Here is a 27735-nt window from a genome sequence, read left to right as displayed (position 1 = left end):
AAGATGGGTATGAAATTCACCGTGTGTGTGAAATTATGACAGGAGTCCCAGTTATAGGATAAAGCAGCAAAACCAGAAAGCAAGTGTTTAGACATTTGAGCAAACCTCTTATTTTCTTATCTGTGTTTGCCCCGTCACATAATTTACAGTAGAAAGTTATTTAAGGCGAGGCAGCACTGTTCTTCATCAGACTTGCATTTATGTATTCAATTTTGGAAACACTATGACTTTTGGAAGCAAAGAAACAGAGTTAGGCTGAACGCCCAACTCCAGTGTACGAGAATTTTTCTTCAACTCACTGAATAAATGAGTATTTTGGGGTTTTTGTAATGTTCAGATGGGAGGCAAAATGCAGACACAAGCCTAGAAAATAATGCAGATGCCAAGTTGATGTGTTCTTGAGCAATGGACATTGAATCAACAAATAGCCTGATGAGAGAGCAGTGAGGGTGAAGTAGGGAGTGGAATATTCATGTTTCCTTTCCCGGGGCACTGTTCTTACATCTCCTTTACATTTTGTTAGATTTAAAACTAAGGAATCAGAAGCTGATAAAAAATTACTGTAAGAGAACACATTGAATAAAAGAGTGGTGAGAGGATTCATTCCTCTATTAACATCAGCAGTCATCTAAACATGTACTTTTTTTCTGGCACAAAATCATAGCTGTAGCATGACCTTCTTGCTTACTAAAGATCACTTAAAATTTTTAACAAAAAATGGCTTAAGCTTGAAAGGAGGCTTTTAAAATGTTAAGTATGGTTCTGATCTACTTTTAAAAATCCAATGGTTAAGGCCAGGGGCATTGGGGTTAGAAGTTGGTGGGGGGTCAGGAGCAGGTTGGTGATTATCTTTCTCTCTCTTTCTCTCTCTTTTTCTCCATGTCTCTGTCCCTTTCAATCTCTCTTTTTCTTTCAATCTTTCTCAATCCCCCATCTCTCTTAATTTATCTATTTCTTTTTCTCTCACAGATATATACTGTAAAGTATATAACAAAAATGAAGTCCCATGATAATTTGTTGCTAAACCACAGTGCAGCTGTCTAATCAAGAAGGCATATTTTTTTGTGGCACATATACACCATGGAATACTCTGCAACCATAAAAAAGGATGAGTTCACTTCCTTTGCAGGAACATGGATGCAGCTGGAAACCATCATTCTCAGCAAACTATCACAAGGACAGAAAACCAAACACTGCATGTTCTCGCTCATAGGTGAGAATTGAACAATGAGACAACTTGGAAACAGGGAAGGGAACATCACATACCGGGGCATGTCGGGTGGTGGGGGGCTGGGGGAGGGATAGCATTAGGAGATATACCTAATGTAAATGACAAGTTGATGGGTGCAGCAAACCAACATGACACACGTATACCTATGTAACAAACCTGCACATTGTGCACATGTACCCTAGAACTTAAAGTACAATAAAAAAATAAGGCATAATTGTAAAATAATTTATACTCTTTTCATAATCTGCCCCAATGTCCCTTGTTTCAGACTTATGTTTTTTCCCTTGTTTCAGACTTATGTTTTTTCTCCCTTCCATTCCTACTGCCTTGTCACTTTCTTACCCTTTCACATTCCTTAGACTCTGGGTTTAAATTCCTGATTTTTGGCAGTCAGAAATCCCTTCAAATGAGGCTGTCAATCCATGCTTCTTGTAGCCTCCAATTTTCAGATTAGCTAAATTATAAACTTTCCCATTTACAAGTGTGGCATTCCTCCGCAGCCTAATGTTTATCTAAAAATGGTGTTCATTATCCATTAGGTCTTATTCACTCTAATTTATAAATTTAGTAGTTTGACCACTTTTACTAGTGAATACACTTATTTAAAAATACTTTTTACATTTAATTTTTGTGGATACATAGTAGGTGTATATATTTATGGGGTACATAAGATGTTTTGACATGACTTTGTATTTAATAGTCTTGGGCTATATATAATTTTTCTTTTATCTGCTAGAAATTACTATCTTCTTCCTTTGGGTTGGGGACTAAAACTTGCATTTAATATGGAGGGGTGGTAATAATTTGGCCCTGTTTTCTCTGTATGCTTGTTGACTCCTTGTTCTTAGGACACATACTGGGAAGAATTATTTTTGCAACTGAAAACAAGTAGAGATTTTAATAGGGGGTATAGAATGAATTTCAGATGACAGTAATCACTAAAAGTGTCTAAACAGTTCAAATTAGTTGTGTGTCTTGTGGACAACTCATCTAAATACCTGAAGTTTGGTTATTTGCACATAGAACCTGAACACTATTTCAAGCTTCAGGTTTTAACGTGTGCTGACTTGTAAACAACTTTCAAAAATTTAAGGCAGGCAAGTTCACCTCAGGCCACTGAATTTTCATTGCTTCTGTGTATATTTTTCAGCGTTACCCTTGTTCTTTTTTGACTTTGTCATTTTCTTCAGTCCAACTGAAAATGTTAGTCAGAATTTATTTTACATTAGAGTATATATTCCTAGATGCTAAATCCCTGAGAACAACCTTTTCTACCCACTTTTGTTTCTTCTGGTGATACCTATTTACATTTTGCTTTCAAAGGGTGCCCAACCACTGGATGCCATACTTGTGTTATTAGCTATCTCTATCTGCCTAAGCCTCTGGTTTGCTTCCTCTTGGGAATTAAAAATAAGATTTCTCTTGATTTCATTGAAAAATCATCATTCTTTCAGCTTTGACCATATTGTTTTGATAAAAACAGCTGATTTGTATTATTGAACATCTTTCTCATTTTTCTTTCTCCATAAGGAGAAATTCATCACGATTTATTACCTGAACATTTGTGAAACCAATTTGAGAGAATCCCAAAAGAATCATTTTAATTGAAGCCACCTAATTACTTGTAATTAAGAAGACTTAAAATGCCAAAAAAAAAAAATCAAAATTACAGCTAACAAATTCAGAGGATAGGATAAAATCAATTACTGAAAAATCCAATTAGGTTTGGGGAGAAGCTGAACAGAATTTTATTTAAACCCAGTAAAATGTCTTTGAGCTTTTCACATGGACCCATTTGAGTTCAAACTCTTTATTATTAAGAGTTAATTTTATCTTTGTTTTCTGGTAGTGTAGTAGGTTTGAATAGGAGCTCTTGAATAGGAGTGCAAATAATTAGGTTAATGGTTTTTCTTTTCATACGTTATTAGAGGAATAATACAGGAGGAATGAAAATGAAAGCAAAATTTAGAATAAAACTTTAAAAAGTTTATGAATTGTTAAAGCTAACTGTTGGACTCCCAGCAGTGGCTGGGAAAATGGTAGGATTTTATGCCAAATATTATTATTGTTGCCTTTTGCCAGAGTTTAGTGGAATTGCCCTGAACATCAACTTGGCCATTTCAACTCTCTTATGTTTGAGGTCTGCTGCCAGTAGTCAGACCATGATAAAAACCCATGACATGCTAAGTAATGGATGCTGGGCAATAAGGATCTTTCTAAAAATGGCTCTTAAAAAAATCATCATCTTGCAACTGTAAATGGCCTGTTTGTTAATAGATTATTTTTCTCCTTTCAGTCAAGATTTTCTGCGTAAGTTTACAGCCTATAAGTTTATAAATAAAGTACTACATTGAAGCAACATTTTTATTAGTAGGTATTTCAACTTGGATGTTGTGAGGGCCTTTTAATTTCACTTTGCACAAAGTGAAATTGTAGAAATATTTTAAACAAATTGATCATGGCCTAAAATTTTCTGCAACATATTTGGTTGACTGAAGTTATTGTTAAATTTGGCCTGACCAAAATTTGAATTTCATATTTTATGGTTACCAGTGTACTCTTTGTAACAAGTTGTGCTTCTCTTGTGATGACAAGAATTCTGAAAGATGGTTGATTTAGTACTTCGAGTTTCACATTATACTGAAAAATGTGGATGCCCACCTGAGCCTTGATCTGATGACCAGGGAAACAGCAGCACTTTTTCAAAATCTTAATTGATTTTAAACAAGCAAATCATTTAATTCTGTGAGCCTTACACTCTGTTTCTTAAAAGAAAACTGGAGAAGAAACCCTATCTCAATCCTTGTCCTTGAGAATCCTAGAAAATCCACATAACCCTTTTCCCCAAGTCATTGGAGACCTTTTTTCATCCTACAAACTCTAGATAGGCTTGTTACCGGGAAGCTTTAGGAGCCTTCCTAGTACCTACTGTAGTATCTTGCTAGCTCTACAGTAAAGAAAGAAAATAATATGAAAAAGTGCTCTGATTTATAGCCCATATCTCTAATTGGCTATTAGTCTGCGCTGACAGTAAAAATATTAAAACAAATTACCCTTTTAAGTTAAATTCACACCCAATGAATGAACAAATAATCTGAATGAACAAGCATTCTCTTGTTGATGGTGATAGTAATTATTATCTGTTGAGCAGGTTGACTTAATTTAGTGAACATAAATGGCCTCTACTTAGGGTGTTCATATAATTTGTTGTCAAAATTGTAGCATTTTGGAAAGTGAAAAGAGGCGCTATTAATAATTACACTAAAATAACAGGCATAACCTGAATTGTCCCTGTTAACCCTCACCTGGAATGTATTGTTCTCCTTCCTTCCATGTGTAGTCAAGTGCTACCCACTTTTGACGGCCCAGATGAAGTTTTCTCTAAGAAGGCTCTTTAGAGTACTTTGTTTATATTTTACCTGAATTAAGGCATTGAGGTGCCAGCATGTCAGAAATTAAGATGTTTTATATATTTCAAGGAAACAATTGTTGCTGTTATTTGACATGTATTTGTTCTCTCTTACCAAGTAGAATGCAACCTTCTTGAGCACAAGGGATATGTCCTATCCTTCTGTCTTGCTGAAGCACTTAGGTATATTGCAACGCCCAAAGTGAAGAGAGAACACATTCTTGCTGAGTTGCTTTACCTTCATAGTAACATTCCTCTCTATGTTTGTGAATAAAATAATGGATATTGGTGCCAAAAATGCTGGTTATTTAAAGAGATTTCTTCTGGGTTTATAATCTTATACAGTAGAAAGGGATAAGAATCAAGCCAAATATAGTTAATTATGGCCTGAGTACCCATTTAGTCACCCGATGTTTGAAAGTGTCCACTCAGATTTAGACATTTTAACAACAACCAGACCTTTACTAGCAGTACTTTATCATAGAAAGGATCATTTGAGAATATCTTAATTGTAGCATTCTGAGCAAAATTATAATTAAATTTTACTAAGTATTTATTAAAAATATAAAGTGGATATTTTTCTAATTATAAAAGTAATATATGCTCATTTTAAAAAAATCTCATAGAATACAAAAAAATGTAGAAACAAAACCAAAAACCACTCATAATCCTTTATTATAGAGATAATTACTTGGACTATTTGGGTATGTTTCCTTGAAGTAGTCTTTTGTGTTATTTATATACTATACAGTGATCCTTGCCTTCTGGCATTCACAGCCTTGTGTAATCCCCTCCGTATAACTTGCTTATAACCAATAAGAGATGACAACTTTGGGAGGACATCACTTACATGATGAGGTCACAAAAGATTGTGAAGTTTGACTTGCTAGCCGGTTCTATCTTGCTGGATTTGATGAAGTAAGCTGTCATACTGGAGAGGTCCACATGACAAAAAACTGAGAGTGGCCTCTGGCTAACAGCCAGCAAGGAACTGATTTCTCAGTCTCATAACTCTTAAGGAATTGAATCCTGCCAATGACCATGTGGGTGAGCTTGAATGTGAATCCTTCTCCAGTTGAGCCTCCAGATGAAACCCCCACTTCAGTGACACCTTGATCATGGCTTTGTGAAAGTCTGAGCAGAGGACTCAGCTAAGCTGTGCCTGGATTCTTGACCCACAAAATCTTTGAGATTACAAATGTGTGTGGTTTAAGCTGCTAAGATTGAAGTACTTTATTACATAGCAATAGGTAACTAATATAATTACAGAGTGTCTCATTTATAGTTTAATAGCATTTTTACTTAACATTTTCTTATTAAAAATCTCCTGTGTCATTAAAAATTACTGAAAATATGATTTTTCTTTTCCAGGTGGAAAAGAATCACATAGTAAGGATATGCCAAATTTTAATTATTCTTATCTAATTGGATATTTAGATTATTTCTAATTACTGGCTACTATGACTACCACTAAAGTGAACATCCTCATACATCCATCTTTCACTACAATGACTACATATCTTATTATCCCAACAAAATTCATTGCCATAAGATAAATGATCCAAAAGGTATGCATAATTTTAAGGATTTAGGAATATTGCTAAATTACCTTCCAGAAAGTTAGGCTATTAAAATGCCTCTGAGTATTTCAATGTACCTTGGCCAGCACTGAATGGTTAAACAAATTAGTCAACTTGAGAAAGAGTATCTCTTTGTGATTTTAATTTTTATTTTATTATGTCTTCATATGATTATTAGTTAAAGCTTATTAAGAATTTAAATAAAAATAATTACCAGCCTGGGCAACATAGGCAGACCCCATCTCTACAAAAAATTAAAGAAAAATCAGCTGGGCATGGTGGTGCACACCTGCAGTCCCAAACCTTTGGGAGCCTGGGAGACAGAGTGAGACCCTGTCTCAAAAAAAAAAAAAAAAATAGCCAAGCACATGGCTTAAACCACTCAATCCATAAGTAAATATACACATAGGAGAATGCTTTTCAGTGAACATTTATCAAGTGCTCCTTATTTGTTTTACAAATATTAACTTATTTGATCCTCACAACAACTCTGAGTCAGGTACCACTATAAATGCTGTTTTACAGAAAATAGGCAAAAAGCAACTTACTGAGAGCAGCACAGCTAGCACAGAGCTGGGAGCTGGAGACAGGCATGCCCTTGACTGATATGTAATAGACACCCCCATTTCAAACAAAAAGCCACATCCATTCACCAAATTCCAAAGGAGGCATCAATTCCTTCATTATAGATCAGAAAAATGAAGCTCAATGCATCTTGTCTAGTGAATGGTTCAAGGTTGTGCAGCTTGTCAGTACTGTGATTTAGAACTCAAATGCTAGTCTGTCCAGACGCCTTCCACTTCCACATTTCCTATGAGGAATAAGCACACAAAGCAGGTGCTCAGTAAATATAGGTTGATTGAACTCCAACAGGCTACATGCAATATGAAAGGGTGATGGAATGTCAGTGAATTGGAAACAGTGGGTATAGTGGAGTGATGCTAAAAATGACCCATCATGGCAGGTCACAGGAGGTCTCCCAGTGGCTCAGTCCCTCAGAAGAAGGTATGGAGAAGTAATGGGGGAGGTAGAGAGAAACAAAAGGTAAGTTTAAAGAGATCCTACTCATAGGCAAGCTTATGACTGTTTCTGCAAAGGCATTCATGGCACTGGGACAGGGAGGGTGTATTGACACACAGCCAATACTATAAGGGAAAAGGTAAAACAAAAACCAAGGCATGTTTGTCCAGGTAGCCGTAGCTGTTACCAGCAGCATTTAGACAATTGCATATGTTTTAGGTTGTATTCTCCACAAAGCAGACAGAGCTAAGGGTTTGAGTGCTAGTGATTTGTAGGGAAGAGCTTTAGAAAGAAGCCAGAACAGTAGTGGAGTAGGAAGGGGAAGAAGCCAAGCAAGGGTGTAGTTTTGGGTGGAGTCCCAGGGTCAGCCTAGATCCCACGGGGTGCTTGGGAGGGTAAATTATACCTCAGAGTTTGTTCCACCATGAGGCAAAGGCTCTGGGCATTGGTACTCACACACCAGTCAATGGCTAAGTGTCTCAGGCACTTCTGGCATGTGTGAGCTGGCTTCAGCACAAAGGGGACAGGTGCCAGTCACTAGCAGCAAAGCCCACAAAAGCCAAGGGATGGACACACAAAGTTAGTAAAAGGGATCTTAGAAGATGTGGTGGCTACCAGCAGTGCCCATTACAGCATGTTTTAAACTACATATGGCAGGGCATCCACTTAAATACATGTATTTGTGAGAACTGGAAATTTCTAATTTGACAATTCTAATTTCCTCAGTTCCTGCTGGGTCTTAATGTACCAGACAGAAGTAGAAATTATATTATGTTCTTTACACTGTGACCATTCATGCGGAATCTGTGGGAGTTATAATTACGTCAATTAAAGCTGCAATTTGCTAAAGGAAAATAAAGAATAGAACAAATAATTCCAAGTCTCTAACTTAGAGGATTAGTGTTCAAATCAAATTGGAGCTTTGCAAATGTTAATAGTTAAGCTATGTTTAAGGTATTTCAATTCTCTACCCATAAAGGCAGGTTTTAATAAAGTCACATAAATGGTAACCCCAAAGGCTTTCTAGCAGCAGGATGGCAAGTTGTTATGTATTATTGGGAAATGAAGTATATTTAATACCTTTCCAATTGTCATCACTCTAAAACACACTTCAACAATTGATTAAGCTGAAACCAGAAGAAAATTATTTCCCCTTACTTTTGTTTTCTTAATCTAATGTCTTTGCTAGAAAATGTAGATATTAGCTAATCTGTGTCTGGCAGCAAATACCTGCATGTTTTAAGTATTCACAAATTTCACTAATAGAGTAGCTTAACAATAGTTCTTCATTTCTAGGTGAAATATTAAATATTATATTCTTAACTCTTACTGTCAGATTAGGAGAACATTTACATCATATTTAAGGCAAATATTCCTGAGTCCTTAAAGCACTCTAGCTGGGTATTTAAAAACCACCTTCTGTAGACCAGGGGTCAGTAAACTATGGCCCATGAGCCCAATTCAGCCTTTCATACATGCATTTTTGTACATCCTGTGAGCAAAGAATGCTTTTTATATTTTTAATGGTGGAAAAAATCAAAACAATATTTTATGACATGAAAATGACATGAAATTCAAATTTCAAGGTCCAAATAAAGCTTTATTGGGACATAGCTACACCCATTTTATTTACATATTGTCTGTGGCAGCTTTGGCGCTTTTATAGCAGATTTGAGTAGCTGTGACAGACACTGGATGGCTATCAAAGCCTAAAATAGTTTTTATTTGATCCTTTACAGAAAATGTTTGCTGCTCCCTGCTGTAGACTTTTGTGCCTCCCTTTGCCCGTAGTTTGTGATCTCTTAAAATAACATTGGAACACTTAGAACTTGGGGAGTCGTGCTATGGAGACACTGGAAATAAAGTCCATTTTACTTTTTTTTTTTTTAGACGGAGTTTTGCTCTTGTTGCCCAGGCTGGAGTATAATCACGTGATCTTGGCTCACTGCAACCTCTGCTCCCCAGGTTCAAGCAATTCTCCTACCTCTGGCCTCCCAAGTAGCTAGGATTACAGGCGCCTGCCACCACGCCTGGCTAATTTTTGTATTTTTAGTAGAGATGAGGTTTCACCATGTTGGCCAGGCTGGTCTTGAACTCCAGACCTCAGGTGATCCACCCGGCTCGGCCTCCCAGAATGCTTGGATTATGGGCATGAGCCACTGTGCCCAGCCCATTTTACCTTTTTGAGGGAAGAGTTGATTATTTTGATGAGCATTTTACTTAAAGACATATGGCTACAACACAGACATTGCACAAGATCTTTTATCTATGCATATTTGAAATGATTGTAGATTTCCAGGGGCCTGAATTATCTGAACTATTATCTCTGTTCCATTTACATGAGTGACATGTCCTTTGGCATAGAGACAATCATCAACTCTCTTCAATTTACCTTGTCCCAGCATTTTAAAAAAAACAGTGCCTGGCCAGGCAGCCAAGCGGCCGCTTTCATTGTTACTCCATCCCATCCTCTCGATAATCCTACAAATAAATTTTATTTTTCAATTTTAGCGATGAGGAAATCGGACAAAAAAGGTGATGCTATTCATATTAACATTGCATACTTAATCAAAGGTCGCTTCAGGATCCACACTTTGATTCATCTAACTTCAAAGCTTTGCTCAGAGTATTTTGTCTTATTGCCAGTCAAAGGAAGAATGTCGTTAACATTGGTCAGAAATCTTTTCCTAAATCATTGATTATTCTCTACCCCTACTCATTCTCCGCCTGTCCAGGTAACTATCTGCATTCATCTGCTTTTCTGTCTGTCCATCCATCCATCCATCCATCCATCCTTTCATTCATCATTAACTCAAACATCAAATGTTTATTGAGTACATGCCAGCCATCTTGCTAACTGCACTAGGCAGTAGACATACATTTGTGAACAGAAGAGACATGGTCCCCACCCTCATAGCATCTTTTTGACCTGACAGAACTGCACAGAGGATGGATTTTATTTGTCCACAGATTTATAGGGCCCAGGCATCTATATCATAAGTGGGATTTGATGTCTATATGTTTCATAATCTGCCCTTTTGGAAATCATTTGACTTGGACCTCTTGGATGTCTTGCTTTTACAAGTAGCCTAAATAGTGTATTGAAGAGGTTATAATCAGATTTTTAAATTGAAGGGTGGAAAACATATGACACTGCATCTTTTCTTTTTAACTGAATGTAACGCTTTACATAAACATTTCCCTCAGAGCTACTAAACACATGCCAAATTCTACTAACAACTTTCTATCTATCTATCATATATATATATTTGGTAATACATTTTTGTTGATCCTATCCCAAAAGCTTTCCACCCATTGCTTGTCACTTTGAGACAACAGAAACTGGCAGGAGGTAATTAATAGACTTGACCTGTAGGGTGAATACACACACACACACACACACTAGTTGGGGGAGCTTCGATTCTTTTCAAAGGACTTTGCTGGTGAGACTTGAAAGTGCCATATGCCTGCTGGGAGAAGTTTTGTTTTGGTAGTAGTTACTGGTTAGGCTTTGGAAATTTTTCTTTTGGAAATCTGGCTGGTTCTCAAAAATTGCCTTTAAGAATTGTATTTTGTAAGTTAAGAGCAGAAGCTATTATTAGCTGTGTGTTTGTGGTTGAAACATGAGGTCAGGTTTGGCAGGGAACTCTTAAGGGTGTGTGAATGCGAGCCTCAGCCCAGCCATCCTGTGGCCACTCAGTGCCTTGGGGAGCGGCTTATTCCTGGATACAGAGGCAATGCCTTTGTCTTACAATTCGTGGGAGTATGTGCTTTAATAATGGAATGCTTCCTTTGTGATTTAAGAGTGACTTATAGTAAATTTTTATTAAGGATTCAATGTCCTATTGAGAATATATATATGAATATATATAATATTTATATTCATAATTGCTTTATTAGATCAGGGATCATGTTTGTCTTGTTTATCATTTTATTCCATGTTCCAAGTGCAGTGCTTGGCATACATTATAAATATCAATATTTGTTAATGAATGAATGCATAAATGAATGAGTGAAAAATGACCACAAAGAGCACATGTAGAAAGATTAAAGACATATGTTAAATTGAAGGATAGAAGTTGGTAGTCAGAGAACATTTGTAGGTCAAGCACTTCCAAGTGATGGCAGATATCTAAGATGGGGTGACCACACTCATGAATTGCAAATACAGAATTCTCTGGACCTAAGAGAACTGTGGAACTGTGAGGTAATTGTATGCTCTGATGTTGAAGCCACTAAAGGTAATGGCAGATGAAGGTGGTGGAGATGGAGGAAAGTAGGCAGGTTCCCTCCTTTCCTAGCTGTCTCTTGGAATGAACTAAGTAATTTTGTATAGATGTGTAAAGATAGTAAAGATAGAAGATCTGTAAGACTCGAGCTCTAGCTCGTGTATACACACACACACACACACACACACACACACACACACGTATCTGAAGCATGGGGATGATCATATGACAGTAATAATAATTAAACACTTACTGTAAGCAGATGACCAAAATTAGCTGTGGTTGGACATTATGGAATGATTAGTACACATAATTATTTTCTGCTAATAACAAGACAGGAAGTATTTATACCCACATGAAATATTTAAGCAGGGAGAAAACAATTCCAGTTTTGCCAAACGTTTCTTATATCCATTTTGTGGAAAAGACTCCGTACTAGGGAAAAGGAGTTGATCTGTTCATTGCTCACTTGCTTTCACGTAGCAGATTTTTAGCGACACTTAGATGGTGAGCTCTGGAGGAAATGGCTATTATTATTCTAGTTCACAGCAGTACCTAAAATTGTGAATGGTTAGAATCTCTTCATGCTCTGATGACCCAACTAGCTGTAGAGTATCACAGAAAGAAATGTTGTCTTGCTACCATTTGCACGTATGCAAAATATGCAGAGAATATAGCTGTTTTAAAAGAAAGCTTTGTAAAAAGAAACTAGTAAGCTTTCAATAAGAAATCCTTTAAATCCTCAGCATTACACAATAATACAATTCCCTCTTTACAGATTCACTTATACCTTTACTGAATCAGAAGATGATGTTGGGGGAAAAGTTGCTTTTCAAATGTAACCATAATAGAATTTTCCCTGTATCTTTCAAATAATTGTCTGTGAAATCACTTTGTGATGTCTATTTCAGAAGCTTAGCCATGACAGCACAATCATAAATATTTTCCTCTATGTCAACCATTTTAGATGACAGACAGATCTATCTAGTACATTTTGTTTTCTTCTAAAATCTCAAATACTACCCAAGTCAGCTGTTTTTAAAGCTGTGGCCTAATAAACAATTGGATATTGAATTGCTTTATTGCAAATAAAAATGCCTCATCTTTGTTTCAACTTATTCTCAAATTACCAGTGACATTCACTTTTATATTACATTGTTAATGAAAGTTTACCTGTGGGTCTAAAAATAGAGACAAAAAGCAGTGAATTGACTGGAAAACTAACCATTAGGGATATTAATTTTTTGGAAACAGTAGTTTTATTCTGAATAGTGTACACTACCTGAAGGCTTGAAGGTTGCATATACCAGTCTCTGAACTCCATAGTGGAAATGATGTCTACCATAGCAATCATCACTTAATGAGAAATTACTACTTATTACGCCAGGTACTGAGTGAATTAGATTAGTAATTGCATTTTATCTCTCATTAATCTCATGTAAATAATGTTAATTCTCCACTTTACAGATGAGGAAACTGAGGACCAGAGATTAGATAATATGCTCAAAATCACACAATAAGGGCAAAGCTAAGACTTGAAGCCAGATGTGGGTTCCTAATCACTTTGACCTAATTACTGGGAGAAGCATAATAATAAAGACAATTTATTGTGACCTGTGTATTATGTATTAATGACTAAACAGCATTTTTGCATGTTTAAAAAAATCTCTGTAAGTGGTATTATTTGATAGGCATTATTCTGCAACATATTTTCTTTACTCAGCATAGTTCTAATTATCCATTTTAATTGTTATATAATATTCCATTTTATGAGTATAATATCAATTATTTTATCTCTTTTCCTATTGATGAACAGAGTATTCTTCAAAATTTTCTTGGCTATTCTTCAACACTTCTTCATTTACATAAGTTCTATGGTATGCTTATCTAGTTCCTGATTAATCATGTTGGAATATTGTGTGGAATTGTTTTGCATTTGTATATTAATTTAGGAAAATTGGCACACATATGATATTGAGACTTCATGTCATGAAATGGTATATCTCTCCATTTACTAAAGTAATATTATATGTTATTAGCAATATTTTAAAACTTTTTCAACATACCCTGTATGAATTTTCTTGCATGTATTCCTAGGAACCTTAGGATTATCATTGATTTTTTTTGTATGGTATGTTTACTTTCTAATTTGTTATTACTCTGATATAGCAAGGGCATTGATTGAATGTTGATCTTGATTAAACAACCTTGCTGAATTATCTAACTTGTTCTAATAGTTTTTCTATGAATTTCTGAGATTTTCTTTGGAATATCATCATATTTTTGCCAGTATGGGCTGTTTTATCTCTTTCTTTCCAATTCTTAGACATCTTAACTCCTTTATTTTTGTTTTGTTTTATTTACATTGATTGTGGCCTTCAGAAAAGTTTGGAGGGAAAGTGGTGATCTAACATCTTGTCTTAGATTTTAAAATAATGTCTATCAAGTTAAAAATTGGGAGTTCTTTAATTTTTGTTAAGAGTTTTTAAAATAATGAGTAATGAATTTTATGGATTTTTTGGTAAATACAATGAGATGCAGATATAGGTTTTCATGTGTAAGTTACTAATGTGGTGTTTTCATTTTTAGATTTGCTTTTCCATTGAACCATCCTTGCATTCCTGATGTACATTTTATGATGCATTAAGAAATACCTGCTATATTTTCTTCCAGACTTTAACATCTGTGTTCATTGTCAGGTAGTTCTCATATTTTAATTTTTTATACAGTCCTTATCAAATTAGTATAAAGAACATTTTAGCTTCTTTCAGAGAATTGGGTAATTTTTTTCCATTTTCTGAAATAGTCTGTACAGATCATAAAACCCTGTGAGCCTGGATATCATTTTCAAGGCAGACTTCAAATTGACAATTGAATTTCTCTGATGGTTATTTATTTGTTCTGGTTTTATGTTTTCTCTTGAGTAGTTTTTGTAATTTATATGTTTCTTGAAAATTATCCATTTTATCCAAGTTTTGAAATTTATTATATTACATTCATATTATTCTGATTTAAGATTTTATTGTATTTGTATTTTTTGAATTCTTAATATTGTGTATATGTATATTTTATTTTGGCATATCTGACTTACAGGTTGCCATTTTACTAGTTTGTCAGTAAAAAAACTAGCTTTTGCTTTTACATATATTTTATTACATCTTGTTTTATATTTCATCAATTTTTGCTTTTCTCTTATTCTGTTTTTTCATGGTATTTTATTTTATTTATTTGTGAAAATGTGTTGAGAATATATTATAGACCAGGCACTGTTTAGAGATTTGGCATACACTTAGTACAAAATTTCAGTAGTTATTGGAAACTTAATGACTCTTTTGTAATTTTTTTCATTTTTCATTTTCATGGATACATCACAGTTGTATATATTTACGGGGTACATGTGATATTTTGTTACAAGCATACAATGTGTAATGATCAAATCTGGGTAATTGGGATATCCATCACCTCAAACATTTGTCATTTATTTGTGTTGGGAACATTTCAAATCTTCTCTTTTACCTATTTTGAAATATATAACAAATTACTGTTAACTATATTTGTCCTATTACAGAATACCTGATCTTATTCCTTCTATCTAACTTTATTTTTGTATTTATTAGCCGAGCCCTCTTCATTCCTCCCCACTACCCTTCCCAGCCTCTGGTAACCACCATTCTATTCACTGTCTCCATGAGATACACCTTTTTAGCTCCCACATATGAGTGAGAACGTGAAGTATTTTTCTGTGCTTGACTTACTTCACTAACATAATGTCCTCCAGTTATATCTGTATTGCTTCAAGTGACAAGATTTCAGTCCTTTTTATGACTGAATAATATTCTATTAAACACACACACACGTAAACATATATACATATACACACACACACACACACACACACTCCACATTTTCTTTATCCATCAATCCATTGATGGATACTATATCTTGACTATTGTGAATAGTGCTGTAAAAAACATGGGAATGCAGATATATCTTTGACAGATGCATTTTCTTTCTTTTGGATGTATATCCAGCAATAGAATTGCTGGATCATATGGTGTTACAGTTCTATTTTTAGTTTTTGAAAATTCATATTGTTTTCCATAATGGCTATACTAATTTACATTACCACCAACAGTATACTAGCATTGCCTTTTCTCCACATTCCATCCGCATTTGTTATTTTCTGTCTTTTGGATATAAGCCATTTTAATTTGGTTGATACGATATCATATTGTGGGTTTGATTTGCATTTCCCTGATGATTAGTGATGTTGAGTATTTTTTCATATACCTGTTGGCCAATTTTATGTATCCTTTTGAGAAATTCAGATCTTTGGCCAGGCATGGTGGCTCATGCCTGTAATCCCAGCACTTTGGGAGGCTGAGGCGGGTGGATCACGAGGTCAGGAGATCGAGACCATCCTGGCTAACGCGGTGAAACCCCGTCTCTACTAAAAATACAAAAAATTAGCCAGGCGTGGTGGTGGGTGCCTGTAGTCCCAGCTACTCAGGAGGCTGAGGCAGGAGAATGGCATGAACCCGGGAGGCGGAAGTTGCAGTGAGCACTCCGGCCTGGGCGACAAAGCGAGACTCCGTCTCAAAAAAAAGAAAAAAAGAAATTCAGATCTTTTGCCCATTTAAAAATTGGATGATTATTATTTGCTATTGAGTTGTTTGAGTTCCTTATATATTCAGGTTGTTAACGTCAGATGAATAGTTGACAAATATTTCCTCCCATTCTGTATGTTTTCTCTTTACTTTCTTGATTGTTTCCTTTCCACTGCAGAAGCTTTTTAGCTTGATGTTATCTGATTTGTCAATTTTTGCTTTGGTTGCCTGAGTTTTTGAGGTCTTACTCAAGAAATCTTTGCCCAGACCAGTGTCCTGAAGCATTTGCCCTGTTGTTTTCTTCTAGTAGTTTCATACTTTCGGGTCATAGGTTTAAGTCTTTAATTCATTTTGATTTTATTTTTGCATATGATGAGAGATAGGGGTCTAGTTTCATTCTTCTGCATATGGATATTCAGTTTTCCTAGCATCATTTGTGGAAAAGACTGTCCTTTCCCCATTGTATGTTTTTGTACCTTTGTGTAAAGTGAGTAGGCTATAAAGTGTGGATTTATTTCAGGGCTCTCTATTTTGTTCCATTGGTCTGTGTCTATTTTTATGCCAGTACCATGCCGCTTGGTTGCTATAGCTTTGCAATATATTTTGAAGTCAAGTAGTGTGATGCCTCTAGATTTATACTTTTTGGTCAGGATTGCTTTGGCTATTCTGTTTTCTATTGTGGTTGCATACAAATTTTAGGATTTCCTATTTCTGTGAAGAATGTCATTGGTATTTTGATAGGGATTGCATTGAATCCGTAAATCACTTTGGGTAAGATGGATATTTTTACAATATTAATTATTGCAATTTATGAACATAGGATATCTTTCCAATATTTTATGTCTTTTATGTCCTCTTCAATTTTTTTTTTTTTTTTTTTTGAGACCGAGTCTCACTCCGTCGCCCAGGCTGGAGTGCAGTGGCGCGATCTCGGCTCACTGCAAGCTCCGCCTCCCGGGTTCACGCCATTCTCCTGCCTCAGCCTCCTGAGTAGCTGGGACTACAGGTGCCCGCCGCCATGCCCGGCTAATATTTGTATTTTTTTTTTTTAGTAGAGACGGGGTTTCACCGTGTTGGCCAGGATGGTCTCGATCTCCTGACCTCATGATCCACCTACCTCAGCCTCCCAAAGTGCTTGGATTACAGGCATCCTCTTCAGTTTTTTAAAATCAGTGTTTCATAGTTTTTATTGCACAGATCTTTTGCTTTTTGGTTAAGTTTATTCCTAGGTATTTTTTGGTAGCTATTATAAATAGCTTTCTTGATTTCTTTTTTGAGATTGTTTGCTGTTGGCATCTAGAAATGCTACTAATTTTTGTATGTGGATTTTGTATACTACAACTTTACTGAATCTGTTTATCAACTCTAACATTTTTTTGGCAGAGTCTTTAGGATTTTTTTAAAGAGTCTTTAGGTTTTCCTAAATACATGATTATATTGTCTGCAAACAAGGACAATTTGACTTATTCCTTTCCAATTTAGATGTCCTTTATTTATTTTCCTCGTCTTATTGCTCTGGCTATGACATCCAGCACTATGTTGAATAAAAGTGGTGAAAGTGGGCATCCTTCTTTTTCCAGATCTCATCTTTTGCAATTTTATCAGCAAATGGTAAAGGTAACATAGAACATGGTTCTTTGACTTATAAATATTAAGATTTTACTTAGGTTGTTGATAATTACTATATTTTTGTTCCATGGTCTTTATTGAATATATACTACTAAAAACTTGGCATAGAGCCATTAAAAAAATACAAAATGTTTTCTTGGAAACAGCAAAATTTCTAATCCATATACACATTTCAAGGTTAATATTTTATACTTGTGACTACTAGATCATTTATGCTAAATAGTACAGCTTAAAGATACCATAATGATAACCTTTTAGATTAACCAACATCTTTGATCTAGGATCAAGGAAATTTGATTTCCCTCAATCCCTTATTTTTCAGATTAAGCAGTTAAAGTAATCAGTCATTTTTGTGACACAGCAGGGTCCAGGTTACAATAGTTCTCCCCATTTTTTATGGTTCTAGACCCTTCTCCTACCTATCTTCCCCCAACCCCCTGGTTTGGTAACTATTTCTCTGAACAGTCTTTCTGTTTCTTTGGTACATTTTTTTCCATGTATAATTGATTTATTCTGGTCATTTACAATTCCTATTAAATTCTCTAAATGCTTTTCCTTGCCCAAATTTATTATTCATCTCTTCACTTGAAAGTAGAATTTTCTTTCATAGTGAAATTAAAAGCAATATATTAAAGTGGGAAGTATGAGGTAAAATATTAGAACAACTAAACTCAAGGGCATTTGGCATTTCTGAGAGTGAAGCAGCTTACATACCACAGCAATGTCACTTGTTTTTCATTGATGAGACACACAAAATTGTTTCCTTTGTCCTATGCCTTTCCCTTGAATTCACATATCTTTTTGCTGAAATGAATCCTTTCATAGTTCTTTTAATGAGTGCCTGTGGGTGTTAAACAGTCTTAATGTTTTATATTTTGTAATATCATTATTTTAACATTGCATGATGGTTTCTCTGGGAGTAGAATTTTATATTGGCAGTTATTTTTCCTCATCACTTTAAAAGGCATTGCTTCAGGTTCTTCTACCATTTGTTGTTCATGATCAGAAATCTGTGTGTATGATAGTAACTTCTTCACAGGTCAAACTGTATTTTGTCTCTGCTAAATTTTAAGACTGATATTTTGCAGTTTGACTAAAATGTGTCTAGGTGTAGGACTTATTTGTATTTATGTTTCTGAATACTCATAGGGTACTTTCAACTGAGGATTCTCATTTTTTTCTGATTCTGGAAAACTCTTGGATATTAATGTTCAAATACCGTTCTTCATTAAAAAAAAATCTCTAAACATAAGTTCTAAATTTTAAGTAAGCCTTTGAAGCTAGAGGCTCTCAAACCATCTGCCCTGATTCTTAAATGCTCCTTTACAAGTTTTGATTACTTTTTCTCTTTTTGCTGGCTTCTGGGTAAATTTTTTGGTATCAAAATCTAATTCACTAAAACACTTACCAGCTGCCTCAAATCTAAAGTTTATCCTATCTTTTGAATTTTTCCTTTTAAAACACCATTTTTTTTCAAATCTTATTTATATTCACCTATTCTTATCTCCTTTCTGCCTGATTTTGTGTCATAATTTGTTTGATTTTTATACATGTGATTTCATCTATCTTCCTGAGTATTTTAAACATGCTTGTTTTGAAGTCTTTGTCAAGCTATTTTATAAAATTAATTTCACCACAGTAAACTCATATTCTGGATATTGATATATTGGCTGTCTTCTTCAGTGTTATATTTCTTCACATGTTTTGGGATTTTGATTCACAGGCTAATTTTGAGTGAATTTTTTGTTTGTGTTCTTCTGTCTCTTGCTCTCTGTTCATGTATGTCCGTTCTCTCTCTCTCACCCACTTTCTCTCTCTGTATGAGCTTCTTTTTGTGGCTGGTATTTTTCAGTTGATGTCCACCGGGGTCCCCAGGACAAAACCACATTTTAGGTGATGGTTTGGAGCTCCTGCCCTATAGTAAAATAATGCAGAGCCAGTCTCCAGGCCAGGAGCAGCTTGTTTCAGATCTTTGTCTAGACAGAGGCTGTGTTGACGTCTTTTAAATCTGTAGGTTTTTAGGTTTTAACTTCATATAAACCAGGTTTTCTCAGTAGGGCACTGTTGACATTTTGGACCGGATGATTCTTTGTTGTGTAGAGCTGTCCTTTGCATTGTAGAATGTTTAGAAACATCCCCAGCCTCTACTCACTAAATGCAACTAGTGCCAACTTCCCTCCAGTTATGACCACCAAAAATGTCTCCAGACATTGGCCAAATGTCCTCTGGGGAAGAAAGTCACTGACTCCCCCTTGATAACCGGTGGTAAAACCTGTAAACCCTGGAGTCAATTGGCAATGTCTGATGTTAGCTTCCTTTATCAAGGAAAGGGTGCCAAATCCAGTCCAGCTTTAAGCCTAAAGCCTGGCTTCAGCCTTTCATAGTAAGTAGAGGACTTTTCGTCTCCCATTGGAAAGAGATTTCTCTGTCTCACTGCCTGATTTGGGGCTCAGCACCCATCAGGCTTTGGCTTCAACCACACTCACTATTACTGGTCCTGAGGATGTATATCTTAATTTATATTCTGGCATTGTCTTTTCAGTATTCTTTTGTTATATTTCACTTATCACAATTGCATGTTTCGAGCAATGGGGACACCATATAGCATGAACTTAAAATTCTTTCTTAACCAGAAGTCATAGAAGGAAGTTTTTCAAAAAAAGTTTGTTTTTTTAATTGCACTTCTTGGTAGTTCAACATTTTAGATGCCTTATTACCTTATGCCCTGACTTGATTATGCTTTTGCTTCTTCTTTATTTGTGATTAACAAAAGCCTCCATAAACCTGCTTTATTTGTAGTCAAATTCTATATTTGGAGTATTGATCAGACTAATAAAAATTAGATATTTTTGAATGATTTCTACAGATATCTCTATGACTTTGTGTATGACCTCATTGGAATTGAGCACAGGCATTGCATTTGGGAAATTAAGACAATTAGGAGATTGTCCTACAAAGTCAGAGCAAAGGAAGCCTGTAGTTAGTTATAATACAGAGGGACAGTGAAGACTGTGAGGGAGAGGAGGGCAGCAGGAGGCTTAGACCTTGCTGGAAAATCCTCAGGAATGAAGTGAAATGTAGCCAATTTGGAACCTACCCCAGCCCTTTCCCTCCATGTTAAAGTTAGTTAAATCAATTCCAGTGCCTATTTATAGTTAAGCCTTGGTTTTGATTAATGATGTTGGAGAGAGATAGGAAAGCGGGGAGGACAACTGTTAGGAGGAAGGGAGGAGGCAAAGCTGCTGAGGCTGATATGCTCATCTGTTGTTTGAACCCTACTCTTTGTCACACACAGATTTCTGGCCAAATATGATAAAAAAATATTTTTGTTAGAGGGCAGTAATCCATGTCAACATTTTCACTGTATGCCAAGTGAAGAAATCAAATACCTAAACCCTGAATTAACCATATGATAAATCATGGTTCCCTTTTTCATTGAGTCATCCAGCATGCATCATCATGGACACAACCTAAGACTTAAATGTCTTTAGAAGTTATGCTTTTATACATTAACAAAAATGAAATTATTAAAACAAACCCACATTAATGGTTAAGCATAGATTGCTTTTGAGCTGCAAAGAGCTTTAGAGACACACAACTGGTCCAACATTTAATATTGTCTGGAGAAAACCAAGATTTGAGAGTCCTAAGGACTTGCTTAAAGCTGCACAATATCTTGGTTGCAGAACAGGGACTAGATCCCTTGTCTTCCCTCCAATCCAAAGATCTGGTTACTTCTGCCCAAAAGATAATCAATTTTAATTTTGGTAGCTAGCCATAAATACTTTTCTGGTTGACTTATTCTCTGCTTTTAATGTTGGAAATAGATGAAAGTTTATAGTTCTCATAAATTAGCTTCAGTTACTAAGGAGATTAGTGTATTATTAATCCCTCCTATTTTTTCAAAAAAACTTTTACTAAAACCCACTTTCCTTGAAAACTGATATTTTCTAAAGATTTAGCTCTCCAGCTATGCACTCAAACAGAGGATTGTGAATGGGGATTGTCTGCATTAAAAAAAAAATCCTTTCTTTCTTGTTAATCATGAATTTAAATATTATAGAAAGGTAGAGGGACATACAGTGACTATGCTCCTCCTTCCACTTAGGTGGCTATGTAAAATGTCTTTTCCTTGATATATGTAATTGTTGTTTACTCACAGTAATTTTATGTCAGAATCTCAACAGCATGGGTTGGGTAATGACTATCCATTTGTTTATCTACAGGAAAATGGTATTGTGTATGAAGCAAGTTCATTATATAGGACAATTGAATTTTTATTTCATAACTTTATCTTCTTTTTCTCTTTAGTGATTTCTCTTTGTGGCCCCATGCATATTGTGCAGATTAATTAATCATGCATGAGCTCGGTACAATCTACAATGATTCACTGGGTAAAGCAGTTTTAGGGAATGCATTGTATTATAAATGTGGAAATGGGATAGACACCTAGAATATATCAGCTATCAGTGAATGTCCTTAATCATAGTCATATAGATTTCTACTTACTAAAATGAAGTCATATATTTTGGTAGAATCCTTCATTTTGAAGGAAAGCTGACATGCAACGTAATTTATCTGTGTATGTGTATAAAGCTGTATTAATTTCCTGTTGCTGCTGTTACAAATTACTGCAAACTTAGTGGCTTGGAACAGCACAAATTTGTTATCTTACAGTTCTGGAGATCAGATGTCTAAAATGGATTTCACTGGGCTAAAGCTAAGGTGTTTGCAGTACTTCGTTTATTCTGGAGGGTCTAGGGAAGAAGTTGTTCCACTGTCTATTCCAGCTTCTATTACAGAAGCTGCCTGCATTCCTTAGTTTGTGGCCCCTTCCTCCATTTTCAAAGCCAGCAGTATAACTTCTTCTATTTTCTCTCTGACAATGCTTCTGTTATCACATTTCCTTCTTGCTCTCCTGCCTCCCTCTTTCCCTTATAAATACTCTTGTGATTATTGTGAAACCCTAAGGAGTAAAAAGAAAATTAGAAAATGGGCTTACCTGGCAGGAACAGAAATAGATAAGGGGAGCAAATGTTTTGAGAAATGGGGTCAACCACAAAAGGCTCACTGGCACCCATAGCATCCTGTTACGAGCATTCAGCTCATGGCCCACCTGCATTCAAGCATTCTGTCTGCAAGCATTCAGCTCAAGCAGCACGACCTTATAAAACTCCCCTTCCAGCCCCTGACTCTGCAGATAGCAGACAGCCTTCTTTCTGCTGTCTTGCAATGTATCTCCCCTTCTCCTCTAAATAAATCTGCCTTTCTAAACTCATTACTATCTTGGTAAATTCCTTTACCACCAGTGCACTGGCTTCAGATAATCATCAACCATGACAATTATATTGAGCCTACCTAGATAATCCAGGATTATCCCTCATTTCAAGGTCCTTAACTTAATCACATCTTCAGAGTTGCTTTTGCCATGTAAAGTAACACAATCAAAGGTTTAGTGGAAATCTTTGGCAGGGGGTTATTTTGCCTATCACAAATGCGTATGAAATTGGGAGACTATTTTGAAATAGCCTGTACTCATGCTACTTTGCATGATGAATATGACACATACTATTTAAACTATGTATTTTCTATAGCAGCAATCTCTATAGCACCAATGGTCATAGAAATATAATGTAAGCTACAAATGCAAGCCACATCTGGAAATTCAAATGTTCTAGTAGACATATTTAAAACATAGGTGAAATTCATGTTAATTATATATTTTATTTAATTCAGTAGATCCAAAATATTATATCAACATGCAGTCAATATAAAAATATCAATGAGCTATTGATATTCTTTGTTTTATACTGTCTTCAAAACCCAGAATGTATTTTACACCTACAGCATATCTCCATATGGATTAGACACATTTCATGTGCTCAATAGCTGCATGTGGTTCATGGCTCTAACTTTGGAAAGCACAACTCTGTAGCCAAGGTTTTTATAGCTCCACACCCATTTAAGAGTTATATTGTCTACTCAAAAGAATGTGATATGATGGCTAAGACATTGAATAAGACCCGGGTTTCTCAACACTGGCAGTATTGACATTCTAGACCAGGTAGTTTTTGGTTGTGGGAAGCTGTCCTTTGTATTGTGGGATGTTTAGCAATATCTCTGGCCTCTACCACTAGATTCCAGGAGCAACCCTCCAGTTGTGACAACCAAAAAAGTCTCCAAATATTGCCAAATGTCCCCTGGGTGGCAAAATTGTGCCTAGCTGAGAACTACTAGGCTAAACATAGAAAGTGTGTTAGTCTGTTTTGTGTTGCTATGAAGGAATGCTTGAGGCTTGGTAGTTTATTAAGAAAAGAGGTTGGCTGGGCGGAGTTGCTCACACCTGTAATCCTAGCACTTTGCGAGGCTGAGGTAGGCAGATCACTTGAGGTCAGCAGTTTGAAACTAGCCTGGCCAACATGGTGAAAACCCGTCTGTACTAAAAATACAAAAAAATTAGCTGGGCATGGTGGTGGGCACCTGTAATCCCAGCTACTTGGGAGGCTGAGGCAGAAGAATTGCTTGAACTGGGAGGTAGAGGTTGCAGTGAGCTGAGATCACACCATTGCACTCCAGCATGGGCAACAGAACAAGACTCCATCTCAAGAAAAAAAGAAAAAGAAAAAAGAGGTTTATTTGGCTCATGGTTCTGCAGGCTGTACAAGAAGCATGGCACTGGCATCTGCTTGGTTACTGGCAAGGGCTTTTGTGCTGTGCCAAAACATTTTGGAGAGGGTCAAAGGAGGAATCAGTCACTTGGGAAGGGGGACCAAACCCAGGGTATACTAGTTATAACAATCCATTCTTGCCAGAAATAATCCATTCCCTTGAGAACTAATCTGCTGTCACTAGAGTGAGAACAGCACCAAGCCATTCATGAGGAACCTGCCCCCATGTCCCAGGCACCTCTCTCTACGCTTCTCCTCCAACACTGCTACACTGTGGGCCAAATTTCAACATGAGATTTGGCAGGGATAAAGAAACTATATCCAAGCCATAGCAGAAGGGTTGGGTTTGAATTCTGTTCTCCATACATTACTGTGACCTTGAAAGAGGAGCCACTTTAAATTGTTAACATAGTTTCATCCTCTTTACAATGGGAAAAGTATTATCTAGGCTGCTTGAGCCTCAAAAGAGACAGTGTAGATAAAACAGCTCTGTAAACTGTAGATACTCTGTAAGACAAACTCAGCATTGTCTTTATTTGTTTATGTTCAGCACTTGAATGTAAGTACAGCTATTTCAGTACTGATGTATTTTCTCATAATATTTAACTTATTTTTTAATGCCCTATTTATAATGATTGGACTACAGTGTAGACAAGATGTTTTAGGTGTTTTGTTTTCCTGTCTGTGGGTGCTCATGGGAGTACAGAAATAAGTAGAACTGGGTCTTTTCAATGAGTTGATCAAATTTGAAATAACTGGGAGTTGTTCTGTGGCCTTCTCAGCTCTGATAGGGTACACCTGCCTAAGGAACTTGCAGAGATATTCTGCAAATTACTTTGTTTGACCCAACAATTATTGAACACCCATTCCTGTTAGGAATAGTGCTAGTTCCTGGGAGTAGAAAAAAGAATGAGACAAGATTCTATCCCTCAGAGTGCTTGCAAGAGTAGTAGGAGAAAAGGCATAGACATTAATGGAAAGTATTTGGATGGAAGTGGTGCTTGGAAAAGAGTCAGGAGAATGCAAAGAGAAGGTTGCAAAATGACGTTTACAGGAAGGTCAGAGAAAGGCCTGAGAAAGGTGCAGAATGAAAAAGTGCATGGACTGGTTTGACATTTTGGGAAATGGAGCATAGCATGAAGGAAAGAGAGAGAAAAGGAGAACATAGGAGTATAGTCTCCCTAAGAAAGGTGGGTCCCCTTTTGCAAAGGCCAATTCTTGGGAGAAGGAGTAAGCTAGGAGTTCTTAGCAACTGGGAATGGGTCCACCAGCAGTAAGGGTCTGTGGCAGCACCACAGCATCCACTATAGGCTCTAATGTGTCTCCACCTTTTTTTTTTCATTATTGCCCCCTCAAGGAAGCTTTTTAAAACATTTTTTCTCTAATCTCCCCAGCCTCCACCCATGAAATTTACATAGCACAGATATCCTATTTATCTGTTTGTGTTGTGTATTTCTGTGCTTTATACATAAAAATAATACGTTTTCTTCGCCTCTCCCAGTAATCGATTTTTACCCCCTTGGTGGCGATATTGCCTAGTTGAGAATACATGTGCTACGTTTGTCACTCATGAGCTGTGTTATTGGCTTTGGTTCCCTTGACTCAAAAATGTTTTAACAGTCATTCTGTGTTTCAGGGTGATATGGTTTAGCTCTGTGTCTACACTGAAATCTCATGTTGAATTGTTAATCCCCAGTGTTAGAGGAGGGGCCTGGTGGAAAGCGATTGGATCATGGGGGCAGATTTCCCCCTTGCTGTTCTCATGACAGTGAGTGAGTTCTCATGAGATCTGGTTGTTTGAAAGTGTGTAGCAGTTCCCCCCTTGGTTCTCTCTCTCCTGCTCTAGCCATGTAGAACGTGCCTCTTCCTCTTCACCTTCCTCCATGAATGGTAAGTTTCCTGAGGCCTCCTCAGCCATGCTTCCTGTACAGGCTGTGGAACTGTGAGCTAATTAAACCTCTTTTCTCTGTAAATTACCCAGTCTCAGGTAGTTCTTTATAGCAACCTGAGAACGGACTAATACACAGGGGCTACACTGAAACAATCCCTTTCTCAACACTTGGGGGAGAAGGCTGGAGTAAGAGTTTCTGAGAGGTATAGGGGTGTGATCCTGCTTGTGTGCCACATGTCTGCCCAGCAGGTCCTTGAGGATAGAGTTGGGGTGGAAGTGGCTAGGTGGGCCGTGGAAAAGGTCCTATTTACTGAATTTGCCATATAGAGAAGTGGGTGGTGCCCGCACAGGGACCATTTGTGCCAGTGGTCTGGGAGCCCTGGATGTGGTGCCATGATGGTCTGCAGACCAAAACCCTTCCTGGTTCCTGCCAAGGGTTCTTGGCCTCATCTGGAGTTATTGGGAAAAGGCCCAGCTAAAAGTAAAGTACAACCTTGTTTTCTGTTTTGCTGTTTTTCTTTGTACATGTAACTCTTCCAGGAACCTGTGGGCAGGGGACAGAGGGTGAATACAGTCAGGATTTAGCCCAAAGCTATCAAACAGCACCAACCATTGACTCTTCCTAAGAGTGTGAGTCCATTTTCTCTTTTCCAAAGAATGGCAGCCTGGTCACAAACTACATTGCCAGAAGAATGATGGGATTGATACTCAAAAGATTTATAGTTGAATTATAGACAGGGAATGCCAAGGAAGAAACGCTGTGAGAAAACTCCACATTTGTCCTTTATCATTTACTGTTAAAAAGCTCTGTCAGAGCTTCCCAGAACCTTCTATATTAGATAGGGCTCTGGTCGCTAGTAATCTAAGCTGATTGAACTAGCTAAAGGACACTCTGTGAAAGTGTGTGGGAATGTCTGTGGGTCTCAAAAGTAGAGATGGAGCCAGATCTCAGAAAAGGCTGAAACCTAAAGTTAGAATTATATATGCATCATTCCAGAATCTCTCATTGCTTTGTATTTGCTTTATTCATCTTTCTCTGTTCACTGTCCTTCTCAGATTCTCAATTTCCATGGTGGCCAAAAGGTAGCCTATCCTCAGAGGTTATATCAAATGAGCCCTGTTCCTCACAGAGCCGCTAACAGTTCTTCAGCTTTGCAGTCTCAATTCCCAGATGCAAGAGTGTGATTGACCCTCCTTGGGTCAGGTTAACGCTTAAGTTTGGTCACACATAATGGAACAAATATGGCTGCTATGGGCCAACCTTTGGAATAGGGATAGAGCGAGTAGATTAGTAGATGGAAGGTCCCAGAGAAAATAATATCATATTGTTGGCTTCTGAAGCTATCTGCTACAGGCAGTGATCACTGATTTTTCCAGCCAGAATAAACCATTCAATTTCAATAAATTATGGGCATTTTAGATAATGGAAACCTTAGTGTTTAAACAATGTTCTTTCCTTATTCTAAGTTTA

General features: G+C 36.6%; 1 protein-coding gene across 3 annotated transcripts in view, besides 1 other annotated feature; it reads left to right on the top strand.

Moving 5' to 3' along the window:
• ARHGAP6 (Rho GTPase activating protein 6) overlaps positions 1–27735 on the top strand; it is a 528377-nt gene that overhangs the window by 25267 nt on the left and 475375 nt on the right. The gene's annotated exons all lie outside the window — the stretch shown is intronic.
• Positions 10839–10948: a silencer, noted in NCBI's record as "silent region_20659". NCBI's record gives its function as "represses an Ori minimal core promoter by ATAC-STARR-seq in GM12878 lymphoblastoid cells {active_cell/tissue: GM12878}" and the evidence as "EXISTENCE:reporter gene assay evidence [ECO:0000049][PMID:35858748]".

This window comes from Homo sapiens, chromosome X (genome assembly GCF_000001405.40).
Source record: "Homo sapiens chromosome X, GRCh38.p14 Primary Assembly".
In the NCBI taxonomy this organism is placed as follows: Eukaryota; Metazoa; Chordata; class Mammalia; order Primates; family Hominidae; genus Homo; species Homo sapiens.
The sequence above is the reverse complement of the archived record's forward strand: the minus strand, read 5'-3'. Positions and strand labels throughout refer to the sequence as shown.